This window comes from Homo sapiens (genome assembly GCF_000001405.40).
Source record: "Homo sapiens chromosome 15 unlocalized genomic scaffold, GRCh38.p14 Primary Assembly HSCHR15_RANDOM_CTG1".
In the NCBI taxonomy this organism is placed as follows: Eukaryota; Metazoa; Chordata; class Mammalia; order Primates; family Hominidae; genus Homo; species Homo sapiens.
Window position 1 is genome coordinate 205,050 of NT_187382.1, and position 20,794 is coordinate 225,843.

At 36.4% G+C, this 20,794-nt stretch overlaps 1 long non-coding RNA gene across 1 annotated transcript in view; it reads right to left on the bottom strand.

The window, feature by feature from the left end:
• Window positions 1-17,667, bottom strand: part of LOC105369218 (uncharacterized) — a 28,164-nt gene extending 10,497 nt beyond the window's left edge. The window contains exons 1-3 of the long non-coding RNA XR_007068539.1: window positions 17,557-17,667; window positions 16,191-16,336; window positions 12,479-12,586 (exon numbers count right to left, since the gene is read on the bottom strand). This is a non-coding gene — a long non-coding RNA (uncharacterized LOC105369218). The remainder of the gene's footprint in view (window positions 1-12,478; window positions 12,587-16,190; window positions 16,337-17,556) is intronic.
• Window positions 17,668-20,794: the final 3,127 nt, after the last annotated feature.

The window sequence follows — 20,794 nt, forward strand, 5'->3', positions numbered from 1 at the left end:
GTAAATGGACTAAATTCTCCAATCAAAAGACACAGAGTGGCTAAATGGATACAAAAATTAAGACCCAGCGATTTGTTGCCTACAAGAAACACACTTCACCTATAAACACATAGATTAAAAAGATTTAAAAAAATTCCATGTCAAAGAAAACAAACAAAAATAGCAGTAGTTGCTACACTTATGTCAGACAAAATAGATTTCAAGACAAAACTAGAAGAAGAGACAAAGATGGTCACTCTATAATAATAATGAGTTTAATTCAGCATGAGGATGTAAGAATGTTACATACATATGCATCCAACACTGAAGTACTCAGATATATTAAGCCAGTATTATTAGAGCTAAAGAGAGAGACAGGCTCCAATATAATAATACCTGGAGAATGCAACATCACACTTTCAGCATTGGATAAATCTTCCAGACAGAAAACCAACAAAGAAATCTCAGGCCTAATCTGCACTATAAACCAAATGGACACAATGGATATTTACAGAACATTTTATCCAATGGCTTCAGACTACACATTTTGCTCTGCAGTGCATGAATCATTCTCATGGATAGACCATATGTTAGGTCACAAAACAAGTCTTAACACATTTTAAAAATTAAAATAATATCAAGCATCTTTTGTGACTACAATAAAAAAACCTAGAAATCAATAACAAGACAAATTTTTGAAACTATACAAACACATAGAATTTAAACAATATGCTCCTGAAAGGCCAGTGGGTCAATGGGGATATTAATAAATAAATTGAAATATTTCTGTAATATGTCACAATGGAAATACTTAGGATTTACAGTAAAAGCAGTACTAAAAGTTTATAACTAAAAGTGTCTACATAAAAAAATTCAAATGAACAACTTCATGACAGATTTAATGCAATTTCCATGAAAATACCACCAGTATTCTTCACAGAACTAGAAAAAAAACCCTAAAATTAATATGGATCAAAAAAGTGCCTACATAGCCAAAGTAATACTAACCAAACAAATAAATAAAAAATATGGGGTCATCACATTACCCTACTTCAAATTATACTACAAGGCTATAGTTATCAAAACAACATGGTATTGGTATTAAAATTTACACACAGACCAATGAAGCAAAATACAGAATCCAGAAATTAAGCCAAACACAGGCAACTAAACTAATCATCAACAAGGCATATAAAGACACAAATTGGGGAAAGAACACCCTATTCAATAAATGGTGCTAGGAAATACTGGCAAGCCACACGCAGAGGAATAAAACTGGATCCCCATCTCTGACCTTATACAAAAATCAATTCAAGATGGATCAAATATTTCAATCTAAGGCCTGAAAGCATATGAATTCTAAATGATAACATAAGAAAAAAAACTCTTCTCGACATTGATTTAGGCAAAGAATTCATGACTAAGACCCCAAAAGCAAATGCAACAAAAACAAACATAAATAAATGGGACCTAATTTAACTAAAAAGCTTCTGCACTGCAAAGGAAATAAGCAGCAGAGTACACAGACAACCCACAGAGTAGCAGAATATATTTGCAAACTACACATCTGACAAAAAGCTAGTATCCAGAATCTATAAGGAACTCAAAGAAATTAGCAAAATAATAATTCCATCAAAAAGTAGGCAAAGAAAATGAATATATATTTTTTCAAAAGAAGATATACAAACAGCTAATAACAACCTAAAAATGCTCAACATCAATAATCAAGGAAATACAAATGAAAACCACAGTTAGATATCAAATAACTCCTACAAAAATGGCCATTTTTTGTAGGCCAAAAAAAGTCAAGAAAACAACAGATGTTGGCATTGGATGTGGTGAAATGGGAACACTTAACAAAATAATGTCATTTGCAGCAACTTGGATGGAGCCGAAGGTCATTATTCTAAGTGAAATAACTCAGAAATGGAAAACTAGATATCGTATGTTCTTACATATAAGTGGGAGCTAATCTATGAGGATGCAAAGGCATAAGAATAATGTAAAAGACTTTGGGGACTTGAGGGGGAAGGCTGGGAGGCGGGTGAGGGATAAAAAACTACATATTAAGGACAGTGTGCACTGCTCAGGTGACAAGTGCACTGAAATCTCAGAAAACACACTAAAGAACTTATCCATGTCATGAAAAACCACCTGTATTTCCAAAACAATTGACACTTAAAAAAAAAAAACCTAATGACATATCTTAGAGAGCTAGAAAAACAAGAGCAAACCAAACCAAAATTAGAAGAAAAGAAATAATAAAGATCAAAGCAGAAATAAATGAATTTGAAATAAAATACAAAAGGTCAATAAAATGCAAAGTTGTTTTTTGGAAAAAAAAAAAAAGAAACCTGACAGACCTTTACTCAGACTAAGAAAAAAAAAAAAAAAAAACTCAGCAGGCAGTGGCTCATGCCTGTAATCCCAGGACTTTAGGAGGCTGAGGCGGGCGGCTGGATCACCTGAGGTCAGGAGTTCAAGATCAGCCTGGCCAACATGGCAAAACCCCGTCTCTATTAAAAAACACAAAAATTAGCCAGGCGTGGTGGTGGGCGCCTGTAATCTCACCTACTCAGGAGGCTGAGGCAGGTAGAATTGCTTGAACTCGGGAGGCGGAGGTTGCAGTAAGCTGAGATCGAGCCACTGCACTCCAGCCTGGGCAACAGAGCAAGTCTCCATCTCAAAAACAAATAAATAAATAAAAGAATAAAAGGAAAAGACTCAAATAATATCAAAGATGAAAAAGGAGACATTTCAACTCTACAACTTATACTGCAGGAATTCAAAAGATCATTAGTGAGTACTATGAGCAGATAGATGCCATAAATTGGAAAATCTAGAACAAATGGATAAATTTCTAGACACATAGAACCTAAGAAGATTGAATTATTAAGAAATCCACAACCTGAATACACAAACAAGACGTGATGAGATCCATAATACAAAGCCTCCCATCAAAGAAAAGCCTGAAATCTGATGGTTTCACTGAATTTGACAAAACATGTATAAAACTAATAGCAATCCCACTTAAACTATTTCAAAACAGAGGAGGAGGAAATACTTTCAACCTCGTTCTGTAAGGCAAGCATTACTCTCATACTAAAATCAGACAAATGCATATCAAAAAAATCTATAGGCCAATATCAGCAATAGATGCAAAATTTCTCATAAAAATACTGGCAAGTAAAATTCAGCAACAGATTAAAAGTTTATTATTCCTCATCATCAAGTAGGATTTATCTCATGGATGCAAAGATACTTCAACATATGCAAATCAATTAATGTAATATACCATATCAACAAAAGAAAGAACAAAAACCACATGATCATTTTAATTGATCCTGAAAATCATTTGACAAAACTTAATATCTCCTCATGAAAGAAACCCTCAAAACTATAGAAGAAACATACATGCAGCCAAAAAACACATGGAAAAATGCTCACCATCACTGGCCATCAGAGAAATGCAAATCAAAACCACAATGAGATACCATCTCACACCAGTTAGAATGGCAATCATTAAAAAGTCAGGAAACAACAGGTGCTGGAGAGGATGTGGAGAAATAGGAACACTTTTACACTGTTGGTGGGACTGTAAACTAGTTCAACCATTGTGGAAGTCAGTGTGGCGATTCCTCAGGGATCTAGAACTAGAAATACCATTTGACCCAGCCATCCCATTACTGGGTATATACCCAAAGGACTATAAATCATGCTGCTATAAAGACACATGCACATGTATGTTTATTGCAGCACTATTCACAATAGCAAAGACTTGGAACCAACCCAAATGTCCAACAATGATAGACTGGATTAAGAAAATGTGGCACATATACACCACGGAATACTATGCAGCCATAAAAAATGATGAGTTCATGTCCTTTGTAGGGACATGGATGAAATTGGAAATCATCATTCTCAGTAAACTATCGCAAGAACAAAAAACCAAACACCACATATTCTCACTCATAGGTGGGAGTTGAACAATGAGAACACATGGACCCAGGAAGGGGAACATCACACTCTGGGGACTGTTGTGGGGTGGGGGGAGGGGGGAGGGATAGCTTTAGGAGATATACCTAATGCTAAATGACGAGTTAATGGGTGCAGCACACCAGCATACCACATGTATACATATGTAACTAACCTGCACATTGTGCACATGTACCCTAAAACTTAAAGTATAATAAAAAAAGAAACATACCTCAGCATATAAAAGTTATATATAGATATATAGATATCACATATAGTATGATACTAAATGGGGAAAAATGAAAAGCTTTTCCTCTAAGATTGACAACATGACAGAGATGCACACTTTCACTACTGTTATTCAACACATGGCAGCTAGAGCAATTAGCAAGAGAAAAAATAAAGGGCAAGCAAATTGGAAAGGAAGAAGTCAAATTATGTTTGTTTGCAGATGATGTGGTCTTATATTTGGAAAATCCTAATTCACTAAAACACTATGAGAACTCACAATTTTAGTCAAGATATAGGATTAAAAAGTTAGCAGCATTTCTATATGCCAACAGTGAACAATGTGAAAAAGAAATCAAGAGAGTGGTCCCATTTACGATAGCCTCAAATTAAAATTAAATACCTAGGAATTAACCAAAGACGTTAAAGATCTCTACAATGAATACTATAAAACATTGATGCAAGAAATTTAAAAAGACAAAAATATGTATTTTATGTTCATGAATAAGAATCAGTATTTTTAGTGTCTATATTAACCAATGCAATCTACAGACTTAATGCAACCCTATCAAAACATCGATACTCTTCACAGAAACAGGAAAAACAATCCTATAATGCAGACAGAACCACGAAAGACTCAGAATAGCCAAAGTTCTTGTAAGAAAAAATTTTGCCTTTATGTGCCTGGCTTATTTGTCTTACCATATGATCTCCAGTTCCATCCATGTTGTTGCAAATAACAGGATCTTATTCTTTATAAGTGAAAAGTACTCCTGGGGGTGTGTATGTACATTTGCTTTATCCATTCATCTGTTGACATGTTGCTTCTAAATCTTGGCTAATGTAAACAATGCTGTGTGAAAGGAAAACAAATCTTTGGACCCCAAAATCACTAAGCTAAAGGGAAAAGTCAAGTTGGGAACTGCTTAGGGCAAATCTGCTTCTCATTCTATTCAGTCATCCCTCTGCTCACTGCAAGTCCTACCAGTACACAGGAGAAAATTTAAAAATCAATAAAAGCAAAATAATTCAATGAAAACAAAAAAGCAACTGTCATTATCTCCATAAGAGGTGACTGTGTAGGTAGAAAATCCAAATGTAACTGACTAGCTGTTAGCTTAACTGTACAAAACACTATTAATATTCCTAAATTCTATCCATACTTAGAAAATAAAATACAATAGCAAACTTCACCTGCTCCACCCTATATTACTCCCTATGTTGATAACATTTGAGATGTCTCATGTAGCTGATTTATTTAAATATTTGCACCAATTCAGATTTAATCAAATTTTACTATTATTTTTACTTCTTTGTTTTTGCCGACTATTGATTATTATTATTATTTTTTTAAGACAGTCTCACTCTGTGGCCCAGGCTTGAGTGCAGTGGCACAATCTCAGCTCACTATAACCTCTGCCTCCTCGGTTCAAGTGATTGTCCTGCCTCAGTCTCCCGAGTAGCTGGGATTGCAGGTGCACACCACCACACCTGGCTAATTTTTGTATTTTTAGTATAGACGGAGTTTCACCATGTTGGCCACGCTGGTCTCAAACTCCTGACCTCAGGTGATCCACCCACCTCGGCCTCCCAAAGTGCTGGGATTACAGGTGTGAGCCACCACACCCAGCCTGATTAGTATTTTTAATGCATTTCTTTGAATTCATTTTCTCATCTTTAGGGAGTGCATCCTCCAGTTTTGTTTTTTTGGTTTTTTTTCCCCTCACAGAGTTTACAGGTAGTCAGTAGTATATACTTCTGAATAAATTCTGTCTTAGGTTGGTTTCAGTGATAGTTTGGCTGACTGTAAATTTCTATTTCCAATGTTCTTTTCTGTGAGAACTCACTATTGATTTCTGCACTTCTTTTTGCTTCTGATGTCACCACCCTGATCAAATCAAAGTCTCTCTCATTCCTTTGAAGCAAATCAGTTTATATCATTCTGGTGATATAAAATGTGACCTTCATGTTTCTGGGTATGCTTTTTGTTTTTGTTGTTTTCCATTTATCCATTTCAACATAACATGAACTTTTATAACAAAAGCACATTATCCTTTTCCAGTTTCTGGAAGTTTTTCTCAATTATTTTTGTTACTAATTCTTTGAAATTTATTAAAACTGGCTTTATGCCAAGTAAAGTGGTAACTATTACATATGCAATTTAAATGGCTGCATAATATTCTCTAATCACTATATATGTCCATTAAAATCAAAGTGGGAAATAATCTATTCGAATCTTCTATATCCTTATCCTTTCACTTTATTTTATGTGTTCTACTTGTCCATTTTATCTAGTTTTTTTCCCTCTCTCTTCCTGCTTTTCTTTTGAATTTATTTATTTATTTATTGAGACTGAGTCTCACTCTGTTCCCCAGGCTGGAGTGCAGCGGCATGATTTCGGCTTACTGCAACCTCTGCCTCCCGGATTCAAGTGATTCTCGTGCCTCTGCCTCCTGAGTAGCTGGGACAACAGGTGTAAGCCACCACGCCCAGCTAATTTTTTTCTTTGTATTTTTAGAATAGAAGGAGTTTCACCATGTTGGCCAGGCTGGTCTTGAACTCCTGACCCCAGGTGATCCACCTGCCTTGGCCTCCCAAATTGCTGGGAATACAGGTGTGAACCACTCTGCCCAGTCTCTTTTGAATAATTTAAATCCTTCTACCCTCACCCACCAATTCCATCTTTTTTCCTTTGATTGGTTTGGAAATTAAACCTCTATTGGTTTGGAATCTTTACTATTCTTTTAGTTGTTTTCCTTGAAATTTTACACTGCATTTTGCATTACAATTTAACAAAGGCTAAAATTAAGCTAATTTTAACTCCCTCCACAAAATAATGCAAACACTGTAGAATGCCTTCACTCTGATCACCTCATTTTTGTATTTATTTTCAGTTGTTCGCTTATTCTGTCTTGTTTCCTTTAATTCCACCAACCACAAACAGAAGTTGTTTTACATACAGCTTTCTTATTGTTGCAAATACGTGATTAGAGTTTCAGATGTGTCATCTGCTTACTAGCTACTAGATTCTAACTATTCATAACTGCACTCCTTAATCTTTTCCTTTCTTGCTAACCTTCTCTATTAACATTTCTTTATTGAAACTTTGTTGGTCTTAAATGCTCTTAAGTCTTAAAGATTATATTTTTCTGTAAATGACTACCTCAATTTTATTTATTTATTTATTTATTTTTGAGACAGAGTCTCACTCTGTCGCCAGGCTGGACTGCAGTGGCGTGACCTCGGCTCACTGCAACCTCTGCCTCCCAGGCTCAAGTGATTCTCCTGCCTCTGCCTCTCAAGTAGCTGGGATTAGAGGCACCTGCCACCACGCCCGGCTAATTTTTGTATTTTTAGTAGACACAGGGTTTCACCATGTTGGCCAGGCTGGTCTCAAACTCCTGACCTCAGGTGATCTGCCTGCCTTGGCCTCTCAAAGTGCTAGGATTACAGGCATGAGCCACCACACCCGGCTCTCACCTTCATTCTTGAAATACGACTCTACAGTTCTTCATTGGTAATGATTATTGCCACTGACTCTCCTTCATGGTGGTTTGTTTCCTCTGTCTACAATTTTCCCTGGAACCTCTGCTGCTCCTGGTATGCACCACTCCAAACTCACTGAGGCCAGACTCTGAGGACACGCCCATCTTTTGTAGTCACTCTCGTGATTGTCGTTATTTGATGAATTTATTTTTTAAATTAATTAATGTATTTTTTTGAGACAGAGTCTTGCTCTGTTGCCCAAGATGGAGTGCAGTGGCGTGATCTCAGCTCACTGCAACCTCCGCCTCCCAAGCTCAAGCGATTCTTCTGCCTCAGCCTCCCGAGCAGCTGGGATTACAGGCACCCACCACCAAGCCCAGATAACTTTTGTATTTTTAGTAGAGATGGGGTTTCACCACGTTGGCCAGGCTGGTCTCGAACTCCTGACCTCGTGATCTGTCCACCTCAGCCTCCGAAAGTGCTGGGACCACAGGCGTGAGACACCCCACTGGCCATGAATTTATTTTATGGAAGAAGATAAACATACTAAAGATTTCATAATTATTTTTCACTAATGTTATACTAACAAGAAGTTACATTATTAAATAATTGCACTAATACTGGTACTCAATATTAGATAGTGGTACAGTTACTTTTTTGTTCCTCCCATATAAATTTCTCAGCTATGAATTTGTCTTGCCACAAAAGAGGCCTAAAGGATAAATCTATTCAGGCAGATTTGAGAAGAGTAGTTGACTCCCCCAAAATACACATTTTCCTATTTCAACATCATTGTTAATGAAATGAAGTGGCAGTGCTCACCTGGAAGAAAACACTTGCAAAACATACATCCAACAAAAGATCTGTAACCAAAATATACAAGAGCTCTTACTGTTCAATAGTAAGACGATAAATCACCCTAATAAAAAATAGGCAATGGTTTAAACAGATGCTTCACCAAAGAAGACATACAGACAGAAGCAAGCACAAGAAAAGATGCTCTAGATTGGGTGCCGTGGCTCACGCCTATAATCCCAGCACTTTGGGAGGCCAAGGCGGGTGGATCACCTGAGCTCAGGAGTTCGAGACCAGCCTGGCCAACATGGTGAAACCCTGTGTCTACTAAAAATACAAAAAATTATCTGAGCATGGTGGCAGGTGCCTGTACTCCCAGCTACTTGGGAGGCTGAGGCAGGAGAATCGCTTGAACCTGGGAGGTGGAGCTTGCAGTGAACGAAGATCGCGCCACAGCACTCCAGCCTGGGCGACAGAGCAAGACTCAGTCTCAAAAAAGGATATATATAATGATATAGCACTGCATATGTATCAGAATGGCTAAAATTAAAGATGGACCATACCAAAGCTGGTCAAGATATAGAGCCACTGAAACTCTCATACACTACTGCTGAAAATGGAAAATGGTTCAACTGCTTTGGGAAACAACTTGGCAGTGTATTAAAAAGTTGAGCATGCACTTACCATATGCACTAGGCATTCTACTACCAGGTATTTAGCCAAGAGAAACAAAGGAATATGCCTACAGAAAGGCTAGTTCACTACTGATCGTAGTCACATTGCTTGATACTTGAGGTCCACAGGAGCAGTAATAGTGACTAAAATTCACTGAGATTTACTAAGTTCCAGGTATTACTTTCATATATTAATTTGTTTAATCTTCATTAACATTTCCATGAGGAAGCAGTGAGGGAGGAAGGACATCTCTCTGGCCAGCCAAATTCCTGGCCAGCCAAATTCCCTTAAGTCAACCATCAATCACTTACCATCGAGGTCGAGTTCATCCTCCTCCAAGGGAAGGCTGAAGATACTGATGGCGGCTCAGTTATGGTATCTCTCAGGGAAGGGAAAAAACTGGCTTCTTCCCTAGAGAGTGGGGCCGTGATCAATGTGGCCATGATTAATGACACACATGTCCTTTTCATGATGAGTTTCATGGTGCATCGCATGCTAGCCTACAGACTGTACCTTTCCACTCTTCCTGTTTCACTTTGCAATGATATTCACTAGAAAAAGGATCTTTTTCTGCGCTAACAGGCAGCCAATCTTCCAGCAAATGAACTGGGTCACTTAATGAAGAACCATAAGTTGTCATCAATAGTGATGCAGACTTCTCAATGATCAGGTTTGCAGGTTTACAAAGACAGATCAGTAGTTCTTCGTGACAAAGAACAGTAAATGATTATGATCAAAATTGTATTCTTATAATCTAAAACACCAATATTGTCTTTCTTTTTCTTTTTTTTTTTTTTTTTGAGACGGCGTCTTTCTCTGTCACCCAGGCTGGAGTCCACTGGCGTGATCTCAGCTCACTTCAATCCCCGTTTCCTGGGTTCAAGCAATTCTCCTGCCTCAACCTTTCAAGTAGCTGGGAGTACAGGTGTGTGCCACCACGCCCAGCTAATTTTCTGTATTTTTAGTCCAGACGGGGTTTCACCATGTTTGCCAGGCTGGTCTCAAACTCCTGACCTCAGGTGACCCACCCACCTTGGACTCCCAAAGTGCTGAGATTACAGGCATGAGCCACTGCACCTGGCTAATGCCTTGCAGTACACATCTAAAGAGAGCATTTGACTTTATCTAACCAGTGCTTGACTCTGAAATCTGTTAACTGTATGTCTTCTATGTCTGAAAGTATAAGTATTTTTTTTCCAATTCCTATGCTAAGTGCTCTATTTACTTCCTTATCTCATGTGAACCTTACAAACCATACGAACGTATTTTTTAGAAATTTTCCTTGAAACTTTAAGAAAGCAAATGGCAATGTGGTGTGTGCTTTCTTAAACTTCCTTAAAACTTTATTCAGTGTATCCTCTTCCCAGCCTCACTTTTTGTGACTCTTGGCAATGACTGCATCTTTCACACCATAGAAAATAACCTGCTCTGAAACATCAACGCTCACAAGCTGGTCTTACCAGAACCTCCATGAACCAAATGCTGCAAAGAAGCCTCAGAATCACAGATGCATAACATCTAGCTAGCCTGATAACATTACACAGCTGTTTATTTTTTATTTTTATGTCTATTACTTTTAGTGTAGCAGTTTTCTTATACTCAAATGTCTAAACATTGAAAACTCAGCCAATGCAAAGCTATACAACAAACCCTTTGACAGCCTTCGCACATTTGAACAGTATTATTTTTCTTAAATGAGCCAATTCTGAGACACAAATTTCATAATTCTTGAAAGATTTTCTTCCACAATAGAAATTTTGGTTAAAATGATTTATTTGACCCGAATCAAATTATGGAATTATGTTCTAAAACTAACTGTATTACATTTATTACATCTATTGGTCCTCAAGCCAAACTTCTGCCAGCCATTTCTCGTCTTCGTGCTGTGCTCACAAGGACCAGCAGCATGTGCTAATACTGACTGTCTGCCCAGTAACATGCTAGAGTATGAGGAAGGCACCTCAGGCACATGGAGGCAATAGCTGCAACTGGGTCAAGGCACATGCCCTATTTCTTCATCACTCACACACTCAGAAATCCACAATGGGGAATATGCATTTTGCATGGAAGAAGAAAAAAATGACTCAATCCTAGCTAGGGGGATTCCCACCTCACTCCCTCACAGCACTCTCTACCCAACCACCTTCCCTCGCCACACTCAGACATGCTCACACCTACACACAAGGATGATCTGGCCACTTCTCCCATTAATTCACCACTCCTAGAAAAACTGTATTTGGCTTAAATTTATCAAGCTGTCTGGCTGCCTGAAGATTTATAGATGTCAAAATAAAAAACTAATTACAACTCGGAATACCGCAGTAGCACCTGATTTAATGTCTAAGGCAGCAGGCCAGTGAACATACTGAGAAAGGAGAACCCTCACACACTCTCCATAAAGGAGCCATGATGGGGATCAGCATGGAGGATCCTCAGAAAACTAAAACTAGAGTTACTATATGCCCACAATCCCACTGATGGGTATACATCCAAAAGAAACAAAAAACAATATATCAAAAAGATATCTGCACTCCCATGTTTATCTCAGCCCTATTCACAACAGCCAATATATGGAGTCAACCTAAGTGCCCATAACAGATGAATGCATAAAGAAATGTGGTATGTATACACAATGGAATACTATTCAGCCATAAAAAAGAATGGGATCCTGTCATTTGCAGCTACAAGGCATAACTGGGGATCATTGTGTTAAGTGAAATAATCCAGGCACAGAAAGAAAAATATTACATGTTCTTAGTCATATGTGAGAGCTGAAAAAGTGGATCTTATGAAGACAGAGAATAAACTGATGATTACCAGAAGCTGGGAAGGATTTGGCAGGGGAGGGCTCAGGAGGCTGAGGCAGGAGAATTGCTGGAACCCGGGAGGTGGAGGTTGCAGTGAGCCAAGATCGTGCCATTGCACTCCAGGCTGGGGGACAAGAGCGAGACTTCATCTCAAAAATAAAATCATAAAATAAAATAAAATTGAAAAAAGTTCCCGGTTATCATGTTGTTGAGTAGTACTTAATCAGAATATACTTGAAAACAAAAGATTCTTTGTGGTTTTTTAACTCTTGGTAATTAATCCATTTTAGGCAGTCTTAAAAAAATGATGTAGGACAGGGAAACCAATATGAAATGGGTAGTCTGAAAAGCAGTTATTAGATATTGACCATCATTTTAGGAAAGGCAGGCTATTTACCCCACTATATGCTCCCAGGTAAACTTGTCTTCAATTCCTGTTAAGTCAAACGGGAAAAACCAAACTTGCCATCTCTCTATATTTACTATCATTTAAAAAATTCTGTTAAGAGACACCAAAACATAGTATTTCGTACCTCCTTGCAACATAAAAAATTGGCTTCCCAGCTTTGGAATTCCCAGCTTGGTAAAAAATACTTAATGTTTTCAAAGCCTTGATCTCTTCTTTTTCACATACCTGATGCCTAAAAGAAAAAGAACAGGGTAACTGTGAGGCTTTGTGTTGTCTACTGAGTATGTAAAACAGTCCATAATTGGATAAACAATAAAATGCTAAAATGAAAAATTATTTTAAAAGCAACAGGCATTCTAAAGGGTAATTTGACAACATGCACAAAAAATCTCAAGATATTACTCTTTGAACCACAAAAGCACTTTTAGGACTATTCTAAGAGAACTACTGGATGAGGATATTAACCATAGGATTGTTTTTACTCATGACTTCTTTGTGTCAGACAGAAGTTTATGATTTTTTAACGAATTCATTTTATTAATCTTTTCCTTTCTAGTTTATGGATTTTGAATGGATGAAAAAGGCCTTGCTTTGCCCATGTTTTTTTTTCTTTCTGATTTATGGGAGTCTATCCTCATAAATGGTATGAAAATATTTTTTCAGATCATTACTCAGTTTTATCAACACCATTTATTGAAAGTCCATCCTAATCTTGATTTCAAATACCACTTTTATCATATATTATGTTCCCATATGTATTAAAGCCTGGTTTACTTTTTATATAGTCTGCTCAAGACGCAGTGTGCTTCTTTAACTTCAAGATTAATGTCATTCATCAACTCTAGAAAACATTCATCCTTTACCCTTTCAAATATTACTTCTTCCCATTCTCACTGAGCTCAATTTCTAGGGAACACCTACTAGACATATTTTGGAACTTCTCATTCTATCTTCTGCATCTCTTAATCTCTTTCATATTTTCCATTTCTTTGTCTGTAATGACTGTATGCTAGGTAATTTGCTTAGAAACTACCTTCAGCTATAAACTTAATTAATTAATTAATTAACAGATGGAGTTTTGCTCTTGTCGCCCAGGCTGGAGTGCAGTGGCACGATCTCAGCTCACTGCAACCTCTGCCTCCCAGGTTCAAATGATTCTCCTGCCTCAGCCTCCCAAGTAGCTGGGATTACAAGCACCCGTCACATGCCTGGCTAATTTTTATTTTTATTTTTTTTTTAGTAGAGATGGGGTTTCGCCATGTTGGCCAGGCTTCTCTCAAACTCCAAACCTCATGTGATCCACCTGCCTCAGCCTCCCAAAGTGCTGGGATTATAGGCGTAAGCTACTGCACTCTTCCTAATTTTTTTTAAGTATACATGTTTTCTTTTACACTTAGTGTATCTATGAGTATTGTGATTTGGGAAGGAGACTGTATTAACTCAGCCCATCATGCTGCTGGTACCAGGTCAGCATTTTAAAAATATTAATGGAAACAACCTAGATATCATTTGATAGGAGAAAAACATATACATGTGCATAGATAAATGACTGGGAGACTATACACCATACGTTAACTGAATTATTTCTGAGCAGGAGGATAAACAATTTTTAATTTTTTTTTACTTTCTTTAGATTTCTATATTGAGTAATTCAATAATTTTTTTTAAATAACAGAATATTGGCTGGGCATGGTGGCTCGTGCCTGTAATCCCAGCACTTTGGGAGGCTGAGGCCGGTGGATCACCTGAGGTCAGGAGATCGAGGCCATCCTGGCTAAAACGGTGAAACCCTGTCTCTACAAAAAATACAAAAAATTAGCCAGGCGTGCTGGCGAGCGCCTGTAGTCCCAGCTACTTGGGAGGCTGAGGCAGGAGAATGGCGTGAACCCAGGAGGCAGAGCTTGCAGTGAGCCGAGATCATGCCACTGCACTCCAGTCTGGGCAGCAGAGCGAGATTCTGTCTCAAAAAAAAAAAAAAAAAACTGAGGCTATTATAAAGCTACCTTCATTTTTTTAAAACAGAAAATGGGTCTCCAAAAGCATCAGTGGGAATTTAGAACAAAAATAAGATCTAACATTTATTAAACACTTTACAAGTACCAGATACTGTGCTAAGTATACTATATATATTAGAACACATAATCTTCAAAAGCACAAAAGACTGCTTTGTAAGGAAAGGTAGGATCTTAGAAAAAAAGGAGTAATAAAAACATTTTCCTAGAAAAATAGAAAAATGGCCAGGATGCCCTCAGTGATGTTAAATTTAAAAATTGTTTGTTTTGATGTACTCATCTTTATATGTATTTCTATTTACTTATTTTTTTTACTTCTTTTAATTTATATTTTTACTTATTTCTTTATTTATAGACAAGTCTCATTCTGTAGCCTAGGCTGGAATGCAGTGGTGCATTCACAGTTCACTTCAGCCTTGAGCAAACCTCCCACCTCAGCCTCCCAGGTAGCTGGGACCACAGGTACGCACCACCACACCTGGTTAATATCTTATTATTTGTAGAGATGGAGTCTTGCTATGTTGCCCAGGCTGGTCTCAAACTCCTGGCTCAAGCAATCCTCCTGCCTTGGCATCCCAAAATGCTGGGATTACAGACATGAGCCACAGTGCCCAACCTATTTATTTATTTATTTAAGACAAGGTCTCACCATGTTGCCCAGGCTGGTCTTGAACTCCTGGTCTCAAGTGATTCTCCAACCTTGGCCTCTCAAAATGTTGGGATTACAGGTATGACCCACCATGCCTGGCCTAAAAATAGTATTATATTTTTGTATTATATAATTTTCAATTAGGTAATATGAATATTCTGTACAGAAAATATGCCCTTAATTACATAGGAATAAACGTTTGCTACACTAAGAAAAATCTAACAAAGCTAAAAATAAAAATTAATTTGGAAAGTACATTATATACCCATACATTCTTATGTTTATACATTCTTTCATATATTCATATATTCTTTTAACAGTATCAATGGTTTGGAGTTATGTGTACAAAACCATGACCTATATGTAATACAACTAACAACAGGCACTTACAATTCAAGGCATATGATATACAAAGCTTTAACTTCTCATCATCAGATTTTGTTTTTTTCTTTCTGTTTTGGCAGATACTGTGAACACAACATTCAACTCACAGACACTATGGAGACCTTACTAAGCATAAGGTACTGTGAAATGTACTTTAAAAGATTCAGCAAACTACTCTCACTGTATCATCATAGAGTCAGTGTCTAACCATGAAGATCTTTTTGTTCACAAGCTAAATGCCATGAAATGGGATTCAAAACAAATGTCCACAGAAATTTTATAGCAATACTGAAGTAGACTATATTTTCTGAGCCTTAATCTAAAAGAAGTTAAAGCCATTCATCTTTATGAGGGTTCTGAAAAGTGTTATAGTGTAGTAGAAAAGTTCTGCACTTAAAACCAAAAGACCTATGAATCAGGTGTGGGATCTCACACAAGCCAGTTATTCACACTGAGTTGCATTTTCCTTAACTATCATCTGAAAATAATGTTTTCTTCATTCCCTGGTAGGTATTAAATGTGAAAACTTATGAAAGCGAGATGATAAAATATGATTTGTTACTACTATTATGGCAATCAACATATAAAACATATTCTTTATATATATATATATATATATATATATAAATAATATATAGAATAGGAGAAAAGTTGGGTCCCCAAACATGGCAATGTGATTATTAGATGCATCTTTCCTCATAGTCTTCTATCATATCTAACAAGTGGCCTAGTGGTAAACTCTGCTTCTCAACCAAAAAGAAAGCAATCTACATTTCAAGGTTGTACTTTACCTCATCATAAATTCCTCAAACTTTTAACTGGTAAGGTTAAGGCTGGACCGGTATGTATCTGCCACAGGTTTGTGCTCTGGAGGACCGAGGTATACAAGAAGTGTTGCCATTTATCAAAAGGTCATCTTCCAACAGCTTTATGATCCCTAGATATAGCAAACTACTTAGAAAAAAGTAGCAGTTCACATTTAGCAGTACACATTTCTTTAACTTGTAACTGTTGCTTTTCCTTTAACTGTCAGCTGGTGGTCCCTGTTGATTTGTAAACAGCACCCAAAAGACCTCAGGCCCATGTCTACTTCAATCCATTAATAATGCATAAAAGATTAAAATGCTCTGTGGTTTAAACTCCCATCTCCCAATTGCTTACCCTTAGCTTCATAGTCCACTACTTTTCCTGTGAATGTGCTAACCACTTTTATTGGCATTTAAAAATAATTTGGACTCATTTTTCCTTTGTAAGGAACTCCTCATACTTAGGAATTTTGTCCCTTTACAAGTTTATATAACTAGATGGAACAGCAAGTAATTTATGTTAACACAAGAGACTAATAAGAGCTAATGAAACAATGCCCAAATTAATAATTTCAATTTTTAAGTATTTTTTCTTTTTTTTTTTTTTTCCCCTGAGATGGAGTTTTGCTCTTATGGCCCAGGCTGGAGTGCAATGGCACAACCTCGGCTCACTGCAACCTCCGCCTCCCAGGTTCAAGTAATTATCCTGCCTCAGCCTCCCAAGTAGCCAGGATTACAGGCGCCTGACACCATGCACAGCTAATTTTTGAATTTTTAGTAGAGATGGGGTTTCACCATGTTGGCTAGGCTGATCTCGAACTCCTGACCTCAGGTGATCCACCCACCTCGGCCACCCAAAGTGCTGAGATTACAGGCATCAGCCACAGTGCCAGGCCAGTATTTTCTATATAAAGCTTTATTTGCATATACTTAGAGTATCACAAATGAGTTTATCATAGAATTGAAACACTGACAATATTTTAATTACTGAATTCCTATGAATTAGCTGTTCTTCAGATTCAAATGCCAACACTAATTTGAACTTCTTTGGGTCTATGACAGTTTGCAAGCCATACAAACCCAAAGAGCTAATCTGTGATTTCTTAACTTGAGAAAATAATAATAATAACCACCACTGGAACCTACATAGGTTTGTTGATTATTTAACATGACTTAACCTTTTGTTTGTATTTTTTTGAAAAAAAAAAAAAAAAGACTTTCTCTTTCTAAACCATAATTCTTAGTCCAAGAAGATGCAAAGTTTTTAAAAAGCACTATTCATGACCAATAATTTTATTGATCTAAATTAAAATGGAGAATGTTCACTATCCTCATGACTGGGAAATCTTACCTGTTGCTAGAAAGACACTGGCCAATTTTCTCCTGATTGTTCCGGAGTAGATGATGTAAAGCGAGCACATTGCCGTCACTGCTGAAGGAGAGGCTATGATTTACTGCATCACTTGTAGGACAATCAGATGCCATATCAAGAAAAAACATTAGAAAATGCAAAGTCACTAGAATTTTCAACACCAGAGACACACCATACTTATGTTTGAATTAAATTTATACGAAGTAACTTTGTGAAGCAACTGAGATGACAATTACAAATATGGAGGGCTTGTTCCCACAATGTGATTTGTCATTAGACAAAGTAAAAAGGACAAGGAGAAAGTTGGCTTTCCATTTCTGATACCTGGCTTCAGCTTCTGTAGTTAAAGAACAGCAAAATTGAGATGGATGAAACTTTGGAAAGAGGCTGGTATTTTACAGATAAGGAAATGAAGGTCCAGACAAAAGACCTCCCCAAAGATATATAGCCTGTTAGGTCAAAGCCAGTATTAAAACTTTGTTCCTTTTAACTTTCTTTGGGCCCTCAGTCTGCCAGAATATGAATCCTGTGCTGACATTCACTCTCTTTCCAACATGGCTTGTCATTCAGCAATATACCTTTTAAACTCCAATTTTCCTAAAAGAATAAAAGTCAGTAACAATTACAATGATGATAAACTGGAAGAGAGAGTTGTACAAGGCTAGCTTAGATGATAAGGATCAATTAGATTCACACTGCATGAAAAGCAGAATTCCAGACATAAATTTACAAAGCACTTTCTTATGAATTATCTCATTTTTTCTCTCTAAAAACAACTCAGGCAAAGAGTTTATCCCCACTTTACAGATAAACCAATAACTCAGAGAAATAAAGTGAAATAACTGGTTATGGAAATCCAGCAGAAAAGTTTTCTAAAATCATAAAGTTCAGTTACTCATGAACAAAATCTTACGTGTTTGCATTACTTGGTTTAAAGAATAACATTTTAGTTTAGATACACTTCCAAATTTAAGTATCACAAATATTCTGATACTAATAAAAACCTTATTAAACATTCTTATGCATTATCAATACCAATTTGGTTTTAGTTTTAAATAAAAGGAATCCTATTTCTTCCTTATCCCCATATTGTACCATCCTCAAATCCTTTATTTAACTAGACATGTCCAAAATGCCTCTTGGTTTTCAAATATGAAAATCACTACCAAATTATAAAAAATATTAATTTATTTCAAGACTGTCTTTTATAGTAAAATAAAATAAGGCAAGCTATGTCTTGACCTAGAGCAGGAAGAGAAAAAAACCTACACGGAACTTCATGTAAAACAGGTACATGGATTTATGTGAAACTGAAAATATTTGATTCAAACAGAGCAAGTGAATAAGTGGCAAGTAGCTTACCTTCAAGCTGCATCAAAGCTGCTTTTCACAAAATCATTGAAAGGCCGCATATGCTCTTCTTTTGTGAAGAGAACATGATTGGCAATACTCTGAAGTATTTACACAATAAAACAGGGTTATAAATAATCAGATTATTTATTGTATGAAGTTTATACATTAATATATTCTTTAAAAATATGAATTTTCTTGATATAATTTCTGCTAGTAGTTAAAATCAATCATTTCTCATTCTATATTTTAGGTAGTGTTTCTATTCTTCCTAATTATAATTATATTTACATGTACAAATACATATTAAAAATGTTTAATGTCTTAAAATAAAAAATCCTACAGCCTTCACTGTAGTCTGTTTCAGAATGTCTAGAATGATTACGCAAAAAATGATCCTCATGACACAAGACATCTGCTATAATAAAACGTATTCTCATGAAAATAAGGTCCATCAGGTACCTAACTAATGAATTCCTTTGTAATATAAACAAAATAAAAACACATAACTGAAAACCGTAGGGTATTTCCAATATAAATGTAAGAGGAAGTACTGTAAGAAAAGCTGAAAATTTAGTTGGAAGGGGAATTTAAGATAGCTAGATTATCAAAATAATTCACCTTTGACATTAACTTCAAGCCCCTTCCGATTCTAGGTGGTGGCTTTTTATCTAAAATCCCTGCTTCATACAGTGAGACAATGTCAGGATTCATAAATCTGAGGAACATGGCACTTCCTGCTGCACTGATACTGTTCTGAGGGAAACATTGGCTAACCCCCTAAAAACAAGTTGAGACTTGAGTATAAGGTTTGAATTAAAATAGGGGCATGGGAACAAAGAGTTCAAAGGTCAAAATTTGCACAACAACTCTGAGTCAATCAGTCCTCATGAATGACACATTTCTATTTTTTCTTCTCCCAAAACATGAGAAAATAAAGTTTCCTCTCAATTCTAGTCTTGTATCATATTAAAGTACAATTTAGGTATCTCAGAGGAAAGAAAAACCTCATGGATGAGATGGGTAGAAGAAACCTGAAAACAGATCTTCACTGTATCATCACCTATACTGCAAGTTTGAGGAGTCATGAAAACAGACCAAATTTTCACACAAAGATGATCATAATTTATTAAGATTAACAGACATGAAAGTGTGGTCAACATTATAAGGTGAAACTAAATTTTCAACAACACACCCCCAAAACATCCTATACCTGATAGTACATATTTATGTTTTGTTGTGTACCAGTTACAACTGAATTGAAGAAAAAAATGCTTGCTATAAAAAAACAAAATCTTAGATTCCTATTGAGGAAAAAAAAACTTACTTACAAGTAATGTTATTGCCTGTTGCCAGCTTCCTTTATAACAACCTACCTATTATTTGAACCATGGAGGGATGGGAATTCTTGGGCACCTAAAAGAAAAAAGGATCTCAGCAGAACAGCAAACCCCTATGTCTACCTCAATGTATAATTCTGTCAAATAAAAATAATTTAAGAATTCAAGAAATGGTTGTCCAGCCTGAAAAGTAATGTGAACCCAATATTTAAAGTGGATTGATTTTCTCTTTATAAAACATTCTACATTAAGATAAAGTAAAAGGTACCTTAGACTGGGAAGAGTGCCATAAAATGGGTTCAGCCCCCATCCCTTCCCAGTGTCCCCTGCTTTAAATCATGTTATAGATGAAAATTATATTATTTTGGAATTTACATTTTTATATATACCATATATATTCATTTTTAAAGAACACTTAATGTAACATTTTAATCTCTACAGCTATTCTTGCTTAGTGTGGCTAACTGCTGTTTAAAGTAGCAGTGATTACAAAACTGTAGCATTCCACTCAATGTTTTGTGATTCCG